Source organism: Homo sapiens, chromosome 13, assembly GCF_000001405.40.
Source record: "Homo sapiens chromosome 13, GRCh38.p14 Primary Assembly".
Classification (NCBI taxonomy): Eukaryota; Metazoa; Chordata; class Mammalia; order Primates; family Hominidae; genus Homo; species Homo sapiens.
The window spans coordinates 83668236-83679285 of record NC_000013.11 but is presented as its reverse complement, the minus strand read 5'-3'; positions in this window follow the sequence as shown (position 1 = coordinate 83679285).

Genomic DNA, 11050 nt, shown 5'->3' with positions numbered 1-11050 from the left:
ACCTCATCTTCCACTTAAGATTGCATCTAGGAGAAATAGAGTTTTGTGGAGCACCATTCCATCTGCCAATGTATCATAAAGCATCGTCTGGCAGAAAAACTCTGACTAAGTCTGATGACAGGCTTCTGGCAGGCTCGAGAGACTAACTGTGCTTGTACCTAAGGCTACAAGTATATATTTTCTTCCATCTCAGAAAGGCAGATTCTCCTCTTTACTGCATAAAGAAATCTGATAACACACAAGATGATCTGTGTATTTGCACATTTATTCACAGTTGCACAAAAAGTACAGTAACTTGCAGTTTAAGTTCTGGATTAGAAATACCTGGGTTTAAATAAGAATAGACCATTAACTTGCTATGTGATTTGCATGATTCTATCTGTAAAATGGTAGAAGTATGCATTTGATTTGTACTTTTTTTTGCTGTTGTTTTGTTCATTTATTAGAAAACTAAAACTAACCTGATTATTGTGATCAACTACAGGCCTGGCACATGAAAACCTCTCAGTAGATGTTAGGTAGCAATAGTTATTTCCTTACATCCTTTTACATATTCCTTGGAAGGGTCTAGACAATGTCATCTACTATCTTTACTAACATATATCTATAACTTTACAGAGTTCTTATTTTCCTATTGCATCTTTCATTTTTTTAGCAATTACCTTTTAAAAATATATTTCAGTAAAAGAGGTAGCTATTCTTTTTCAAGTTTTGCTTTACCAAGAAAATATTGATAAAAATTAGTTAATTAATTTTCACTTTTAGAATTATGAAAGAGAAACACTGGTATGCAAAAAGTCTTATTGTTAAACTAGTGATTAGTAGCAAATTAATTCAGCTTTTAAAACAAAGTAATGACATATTGAGATGCATTTTTTGCTTGCAAAACTGAGAAACAGATGTATATAGAAATCACCTTTGCCATCCCAGGTCTGCCTTTAATGTGCCTGTGTTTTCTTGTCATGCATGTTGAAAAGCAAGATGTATGCAATACAATAGGTTCTCAGCTTTTTTCCCTGTATCTTAATGTAACATCCTATATTTCTCCTCACCTTAAACTAGCTGAAGCATTCAGTTGTGACAGTCTGGTTTATTTCAGCAACAATCATCTACCTGTCCTTTTGGACAGATATTGCTGTAAATTCTGAAGATTGACAGAAATAAAGATGCTAGCAGATTTGGAGATTAGACTTCAGTTATTAACTAAGGCATATTAAGAGTCTATCATGCAGAATAAGGCAGTTGGAGTGTTGCTCAAATAAAACATGGGCAACAACAAAAAAAAAACTTTATTTCTGATTAAATAATTATATTAGGGTATATATATATTTTATATATATGTTTCTCCAATGATATATACATATATATAAGTATATGTGTATCATAGGAATAGAAATGATATATTTAGGAATATGTAAAATACATTCTTAAAATCTTAAGGATTCTTTAATTCTTACAGAATTAACAATATATTTTATATTTTAAATAATTAAATTAGCAATATAAAATATATAACATAGGACATTATTTGATGAATAAAGATGTGTAACATACATGATTATTATATATTAAATATACTGTTGTGATTATTATATATTAGGCATACTAGTTAGATATAGCTCTATAACTAGTTAGGCTATACATGATATAACCTTAATTATATATTATATAATTATATATTATTTATTCTATTATATTGTTATATATAAGAATAATATAGCATTATATTCATATATAAATATATGAAGAGGTAAATATCCTGAAGGAAATAATGGAACTAACATGATAAGAGGTAATGGGTCTAAATTATTAGGGATACATTTTTTCAAAAGCCATTATATAAAAAGTATATTTTAAAGAAATTTTGGCATAAAGTCATGTGGAAACAGTTAATTATTAGTATCTGATCAATTTCTATGACTATGTGTAAGTTTTTATGTGTTACTCTATAGCTCCATGACACCTGCCCCCTACTTACACCCCCACTCCCATCACACATATACATACACATGCCCTTTTCATGCCATGTGGTAAAAGTCTGGTGAGTATTTTCTTTTTATCTTAATTGTATTTAACAACACTCTACCCTTGCTAACCTAAAAGTCATCTAACATTTGATCTCTTGTGATCTCTCACTCTGAACTCATATCATGATTATTGCTTGGTTTAGACTACTTTCATTGCACATGTGGGAGGAATAATAATTAAAAATATTAACTACTATGTTCATGTATACATGTGTGTACTTTATTTTCTTCTCTTCTCTCAGGCTAGACCATAACATTCTTGTTAGATAATGAAGCCACAGCAGAATTGTCATGAAAAATTAGAGAAATTAATTGTTGGCTTTAGACATTAGAAAAGACTAAGATGCCTTAAGTTTGCAAGTGTACTTGCTGAAGTACTGTTTTCTACTATGAAGACTAGAAAACGAACTTACTTTCTAGACCAAAGTAGAGGGAATATTACTGGAAACATTTAGGGTTAAATCCTGGCATGAAGAGGAGGGAAAGGGTAGAAATTCAGCTTGGGGTTATGAAATCAGGGGGTACCAGTGGTACATTTCCAGGCAGAAAGTTTTTTGACAGGCAGCAATTTCACAAAAAGTAGAGGCTGAGCATAAGTACATGAATAACCAGGACTGAGCCACCTGTAGGAAGCCTGTGAGCCCAAGGTTGCTGAAAGATATTCCCATATGATTGAAAGTGGTTGGATGGACACAAGAGTTACTGTAACCACAGAACCTTCTGGCTGGAAAGTCGGGAGGTTTCAGGAGTATGTTGGGTTGTGCAACCAGGAACTAGAAATCAATGCAGATGCCTCAGCAGAGACCAGCACAAAGAATGACAAAGCCTGGGATAAAGAGAAAGCTTCATCCAAGTTGAATGCCAGGAAGGGGCGGGCGAAAGATTATCTAGGTGCCGAGGCAAGAGACTGAAAGCACAAACTGTTTCAGTATAATAAAGAAAATAGTTAGAATAAGAATAGTCATAATACAAATTAAATATAGAGAAGATCATGGACAATTATCAATCATTAGTATAAACATTATTAATTATTAACTTTTAATAGTACTCTTTGTTGCATTACTAATATAATCTAGGAATAACCGGCAGGTATAGGGTCAGGTGCTGAAAGGACATTGTGAGAAGTGACCTAGAAGGCAAGAGGTGAGCCCTCTCTCACGACCGCGTAAGAGCCGCTTGAGGGCTCCTTGGTCAAGCGGTAATGCCAGTGTCTGGGAAGACACCCATTACTTAGCAGACCGTGAAAGGGAGTCTCCTTTCCTTGGAGGAGTCAGGGAACACTTTGCTCCACCAACTTCTTGTGCGAGGCTGGATATTATCCAGGCCTGCCCACAGTCATCCGGAGGCCTAAACCCCTCCCTGCGGTGCTGTGCTTCAGTAGTCACGCTGCTTGTCCACTTTCATGTTCCTCCGGTACTCCTGGTTCCTCTTTGAAGTTCGTAGTAGATAGCGGTAGAAGAAATAGTGAAAGTGTTAAAGTCTTTGATCTTTCTTATAAGTGCATGGAAGAAAACGCTGATGTATGCTGCCTTCTCTCTCTGATTCGGCTACCTAAAAGGGAAGGGCCCCCTGTCCTGTGATCACGTGACTTGCTTCACCTTGTCAATCACTTAGAAGATTCGCCCTCCTTATCCTGCCCCCCTTGTCTTGTAAGCAATAAATATCAGTGAGCCCAGTCGTTCGGGGCCACTACCGGTCTCCGTGTCTTGATGGTAGTGGTCCCCCGGGCCCAGCTGCTTTCTCTTTATCTCTTTGTCTTGTGTCTTTATTTATTACAATCTCTCGTCTCTGCACACGGGGAGAGCATCCGCTAAGCCCCATAGGGCCGGACCCTACAGAAAGGTAATGTCTTCATTGAAGTTTTTCAAGACCTAGAACTAGAGACAACCAACTGAATGTTAACGGTTTACTTTTAAAGTAAAGAGAACACTTGTGAAGAAATGGAACCAGAAAGCAAAAAGAAGGTACCCTATAAAGTAAGTATTATAAAGTTAGCAATTTGAACTTAATTCCACTGGGGAAACTAGCAGCTGGCCTAAGACACCTGATTCCAAATTACCCCGCCTGAGCAGCAAGAAAGCAGGCTATTTATATACCAACTCCCATCTGTCATTGCTTCCGAGCTATTTCAACGTGTCTGCAAGATCCCAGCACTCCCAGTGTGTCATAGTGGTGGCAAAGTGGAAAAGCGGTCTCTAGAAGCAAGAAAAACCCCGAGCAGTAGCATGCCAGTGATGGCAGTTGGAATGATAAAGATGATAGTTACCAAAAGGACATTGACATCACCTGCTACGCTGCACAGAACATGTACATACCTCGTATTAAATTCAGTTCATCTTGGCCGGGCACGGTGGCTCACGCCTGTAATCCCAGCACTTTGGGAGGCCGAGGCGGGCGGATCACAAGGTCAGGAGTTCAAGACCATTTGGCCAACATGGTGAAACCCTGTCTCTACAAAAATACAAAAAAATTAGCTGGGTGTGGTGGCGTGCACGTGTAATCCCAGCTACTTGGGAGGCTGAGGTGGAAGAATTGCTTGAACCTGGGAGACAGAGGTTGCAGTGAGCCAGGATTGTGCCATTGCACTTCAGCCTGGGTGACAGAGCGAGACTCTGTCTCAAAAATAAACAAATAAATAAATAAATTCAGTTCATCCTATTATTGATTCTTCCAAGGTAGTAACTATTCACAATTAACAATAAAGGAAGAAAGAACATACGAGTGAGACAGGGAGGGAAGGAACTCTATATACATCGGAAGAAAAGAATTGAGGAAGGGAGGGATGGAAGTAAGGAAAGAGGAAGTGAGGAAAAAAACTGACTTGCAACCAACCTTTTACAACAATCTTCAACCAGTTATAATGCAGTAAATAGAACAAGAGTCTGCATTGATACAATGTTTCTGAAGTTGCAACTGATGATTCCCAGTCTCCTTCCTCTACTACCTATTCTTGATTCCCCATACGCTTGCCTACCACTTTAGCTGCTCCTTGTTGCTTGCCCCAACACTATCTCTTGTCTAACTTTAGTCACTACAATTGCACATTTACAATGATCAACAAGCGTGGAAACATCAAGATTTACCCCAGTGAATTCTCAGAACTTCAGGCATAACCTTGCCCTCATTATGATTATCTCCTTATGATAAGCAGGGTCATTATTGCCAGTATAGTGACACCCTTCTTCACCTACTTTTCTGCAGGTATTAGAAATTCAGGTGACAGGCCAGGCACAGCGGCTCACGCCTGTAATCCCAGCACTTTGGGAGGCCCAGGCAGGTGGATCATGAGGTCAGGCGTTCAAGACAAGCCTGTATCTACTAAAAATACAAAAAATTAGCCGGGAATGGTGGCGGGTGCCTGTAATCCCAGCTATTCAGGAGGCTGAGGTAGGAGAATCGCTTGAACCTGGAAGGAGGAGGTTGCAGTGAGCCAAGATCTTGCCACTGCACTCCAGTCCGGGAGACAGTGAACAGTGTGAGACTCCATCTAAAAAAAAAAAAAGAAATTCAGGTGACAGGTATAATTTTACTTCTAGGTAAAATCTTATTTTGTTTCCTCCTACAAATATCCTCCTTGGGAAATGGATTCTAGCCCAGCAAATACTAATATTGTGAATGGGAATTAAAAATTTCCCAGTAGGACTTATGGCAATAGGGGGGCCATTGCTACATCCTTTTATTGTGCCCTGGACATGTATGTTATACTTATATGGGACAGATCGCCATGAAATAACAGACTTGAAGAACATCAGTCTAAACTGCAGGGTACCTTCCCAAAGCTGGTGGATTCTCCGGGGCTGACTGCTTCAAATATATAACCATAGTAATTGGTCAACTGTTGCATCTCTTTTTAAGTAGAATGTTTTCCTTTGAAAAGAACGTTTTCCTATGAAAGACAATGTTATATGGGATCATATAATGATAAATGAGGCATTTTATGAACCCTTGGATATTATTGTAATACTAAAGCCTGAAGGCAAAAAAGGCAAAGATAAACCTATATAAAGTCTTAATCTAAGTCAAAATGAATTCCTGACCCCAGAAAGGAAGGGATTTAACACAATTAACTTGTCGCCAAGTATTTGAAACAATAAACAGAGGTAAATGCTACAGAAGAAGCCTTGGTAAGAGAAATACTTCCCATCAGAGCATGCCAAATTTTCATCCCTTATAATAGCTATAACATTATCAGTTTATTTTTCAGTCCTGGGATGGCTGAGGATAGTGGCTGGCTGAACTCTACTGGATGGTTTGTAGGGTATTCTGTGGGAGAGATTCTCCCTGGTGGGTGCTGATGAGAAATAAAACATTTTTACAGTCTGTGCGCACTCCTGTAGACCATCTACTTGCTTCCTTTCCAGGATACATTGCCTCTGATTTCTACTACTCTTCCTTCCTGGCTCCTGACTAACCAGCCAAGACAGTTACAGCTTAGGAATTGCCTCAAGCTATTCTCCAGCTATATCAAGTTTATGCGCAGGTGTGTTGCTCAGAACTCTATATACTGGGATTTTTTTCTTCAACATGTTCTTGCAGGGCCACCTCTAAGTAATGCTTTGGGCAGCAACAGATACTTTTTCTCCTGTAGCATAGTATTGAGCCAAGCTATCTCTAAACCAGACCAGACCTTTCTTTCTTCTCCTTTTTCAATTATCTGGTCATACATAAGACATCACAGACCATAATATAATCTGATTTTGGGGAGACTTGTAACAGAGGCTGGTGATATGGGTGCACAAGCCACTTGTTTGTTAAACTAACTTGTGTACACTTAATCGTTGCAGGACCAAATATCTATGCACTGTTTCCTTTATACAGTGAGTTAATGCTTTTTTCCAAAGACTTGGACGTGACTGGTCTGCTATACTCAGTACCCAGCACATGATCAACTCTAACTGTAGTTACTTGTTGTCTCATATCTAGACATTCAGTCTCTACTAGAGTCCAGTAGCATATCAGGAGGTGCTTTTCACATAAGGAACAGTTTTCTGCTGCTGATGGTATGGACTTCCTTAGAAAACATGGTACAAACTTACGGAAACTATGGTTCTGTTCTTCATAGGAGATTAAACTTGCACGGCACACGAAAAAGCATTCCTATTTAATATGGACAGTTCCAGCAACTTGAGATCTCCTGAGCCATATGGTTTAATTGGCAGGGCCGCAAATGTCTTGAATCTCTTGCAGAATCCTTTCTTCCGCTTCACGCTACTCAGAACCGACAACTCTTCAAGGCACTAATAAATAGATTGGAGCCATATTCCTGCACGTAGCATGTGCAGTCTTCAGAATTCACAGAAATATGCCAAGTACTGTTACCTATTTCTTTGTAGTAGCAGATGCAAGGTACAATAACTTATTCTTTATGTAGGAAACTGAGATATGACGGACCATTAACACTGCATCTTATAAATCTATAAGAATGGCACTAACTTCTGCCATCTGTCTAAATACAATATTGCTTCTGATTTATTACCTAGATCTAGGTGGAGGAAGTGTAGTATTAGGGCTTCCACTTGGATCTTCCATTTTCTTTTTATTCCACTGGTCTTGGTATAAATGTAAAGACTGTTCCAACTCAATATCCATCCCAATTATATACTAAGGTTTTAGAGAAATGAACAGAGGATGGGTTGATGGCCCATTGGTCTCTTTGAGAGATGGACTTAGACTGGGTTACCATTTATCTCTGAGGTTTCATATCCTTTCATGCTGACAAAGGAAACTGTTAGTGCTTAATCAGAATAGAAGAGTGAGTCATTACACATGATTAGTTCAGAAAGTCTTATATTCACAATTTGTTTTAATTTCTGATTTGTGGCCACAATAATTCACTACATTATGCAAAATATCTGTCAGTGTTTTATAGCTGATAATATGTAAATGAAGATGAGAGATGAAACTCACAGGAAGAATCTTAACAAATGACCTCCAAATTACCCATGATGGCCCCAAATCAATAGAGAATCCTCTATACACACACACACACACACACACACACACACGCACCCACTCACTATTCTAAATACTTGATTGTGACTCATTTAAAATAATTGATGACAATTACTTAGCAAGAGCTAAGATAAAATATTATATTTAGGTCAATAAACATATACTAAAATTTAGGTTTAAATGATTGCATTACTAAAAATTACATATTTTTAACATAGTTAATCTGATACTTTTATCTGTAAATGAGAAACCGGTATAGCATAGTACAATCCTTCTTGTGGAATTCCTTCAAGATTTTATACAGAGATCAGAATTTATATTCCTCAGAATAGGAATTACAGCTATAGGGCAACAACTCTGCATACTACCCTTCCTGCAGGATTATAATGAAAGGATTAGAACAATTTTGAATGCAATATGAAGGGACAATATCCCTTAGTAACATTAAAAAATAGGTATATACCTGGATAAGTAGGTCTTACTGAGAAGGATTTTCGCCAGAAAATTAAAACACACACATACATGCACACACACCAATAAACAGTGGTTTCCTTGTTCTAAAAATATGTAATCCACTCTTTTGATATAAGAAACCAAAAATTGAAGAAATTCACCCAGTTAAATCACAAGAGCAATAACAACGATAGCAACAAAAACCCAAGAAGCGAAATAACTAATTTAGGGATTTACCAGTATTACTGAGTTATGGGATCTTCTGGCACCTGTAAGCTACTTCATTTTGGGAAATTAATTTCATGCTTGCCTACTCCTGTGAAACTCCTGACTGAAGGGTCTCATGAAGTTTTGGAATGGTCAAAGAAATGTCAGAAATGTTACTGAAGAAAGCCAAAGAAAAAGCTGTCACCATCTGAGCAGTCAATTATCTTTTTTTTCTTTTTTTCTTTTTTCCCCCAAAAATAAACTATATATGCTCAACTAGGTGTATTAGTCGGTTCTCATACTGCTATGAAGAAATAACCAAGACTGTGTAATTTACAAAGAAAAGAGGTTTAATTGATTCACAGTTCTGCATGGCTGGGGAGGCCCCAGGAAACATACAATCATGGTGGAAGAAACCTATCACAGAGCAGCAGAAGAGAGAAGGAGTGCCAGCAGGGGAAATATCAGATGCTTATAAAACCATAAGATCTCATGAGAACTCACTATCACAAGAACAGCATGGGGGAAAATGCCCCCATGATTCAATTACCTCCAACTGGTTCCCTCCCCCAACATGTGGGGATCATGGGGATCATAATTCAAGATGAGATTTGGGTGGGGACACAGCCAAACCATATAATTCCACTTCTGGCCTCTCTCAAATCTCAGATCCTCACATTTCAAAATACAATCATGTCTCCTCGACAATCCTCCAAAGTCTTAACCCATTCCAGCATTAATCCAAAAGTCCAAGTCCAAAGTCTCATCTGAGACAAGGCAAGTCCCTTCCACCTATGAGCTTGTAAAATCAAAAGCAAGTTAGTTACTTCCCAGACAGAATAGGGGTACAGGCATTGGGTAAATACACCTGTTCCAAATGAGAGAAATTGGCCAAAGCAAAGGGGCTACAGGCCCCATGCAAGTCCAAAATCCAAGAGCGCAGTCATTGAACCTTAAAGTTCCCCAATGATCTCCTTTGCCTTCATGCCCCACATCCAGGTCATGCTGATGCAAGAAGTGGGCTCCCATGGACTTGGGCAGCTCTGCCCCTATGGCTTTGCAGGGTACTGGCCCCCTCCCAGCAGGCAGCTATCACAGGCTGGCATTAATTATCTGTGGCTTTTCCAGGTGCAGGTTGCAAGCTGTCAGTGGATCTACTCTTCTAGGGTCTGGAGGATGGTGGCCCTCTTCTCACAGCTCCACTAGGCAGTGCCCTAGTAGGGACTCTCTGTAAGGGCTCCGACCCCACATTTCCCTTTTGCACTGTGCTAGCAGAGGTTCCCCATGAGGGTCCCACCCCTGCAACAAAATTCTGCCTGGACATCCAGGCATTTCCATACATCCTCTGAAATCTAGATAGAGTTTTCCAAACCTCAATTCTTGTCTTCTGTGCACAGGACCAACACCACATTGAAGCTGACAAGGCTTGGGGCTGGCACCCTCTGAAGCAACAGCCTGAGCTGTACCTTGGCCCCTTTTTTGCCATGGCTGGAGGGGCTGGGACGAGGGCACCAAGTCCTGAGGCTGCACACAGCAGAAGGGCCCTTGGCGCAGCACAGGAAACCATTTTTCCCTCCTAAGTCTCTGGGCCTGTGATGGGAGGGTCTGCCATGAAGACCTCTGACATGCCCTGGAGACATTTTCCCCATTGTCTTGGTAATTAACATTTGGCTCCTCCTTACTTATGGAAATTTCTGCAGTGGGCTTGAATTACTCCCCAGAAAATAAATTTTTATCTTCTATTGCATTGTCAGGCTGCAAATTTTCCAAACACTTATGTTCTGCTTCCCTTTTAAACATAAATTCCAATTTCAGTTTCTCTCAAGTTCAAGTTTCCAAAGATCTCTAGGGTAGGAGCAAAATGCCACCAGTCTCTTTGCTAAAGCTTAGCAAGAATGACCTTTGCTCCAGTTCCCAATAACTTCCTCATCTCCATCTGAGACCACCTTTGCATGTACTTCATTGATCACTATCAGCATTTTGGTCAAAGCCATTCAACAGGTTTCTAGGCAGTTCCAAACTTTCCCACATCTTCCTGTGTTCTGAGTCCTCCAAGTCTGTAGGAAGTTCCAAGCATTCCCATATTTTCCTGTCTTCTTCTGAGCTTTTGGAACTGTTCCAATCTGTGCCTATTACCTAGTTCCAAAGTCACTTCCACATTTTTGAGTATCTTTACAGCAGTGCCCTACACCTGGTACCAATGTATTGTATTAGCCTATTTTCATACTGCTAAAAAAACTGCCCAAGACTGGGTAATTTCTGAAGGAAAAAGGTTTAATAGACTCATAATTCACTATGGCTAGGGAGGCCTCAGGAAATTTATAATCATGGCAGAAGGCAAAGTGAAAGCAAGGTGGCAGGAAGGAGAAGTGCTGAGCACAGGGAAAAGAACCCCTTATAAAACCATCAGA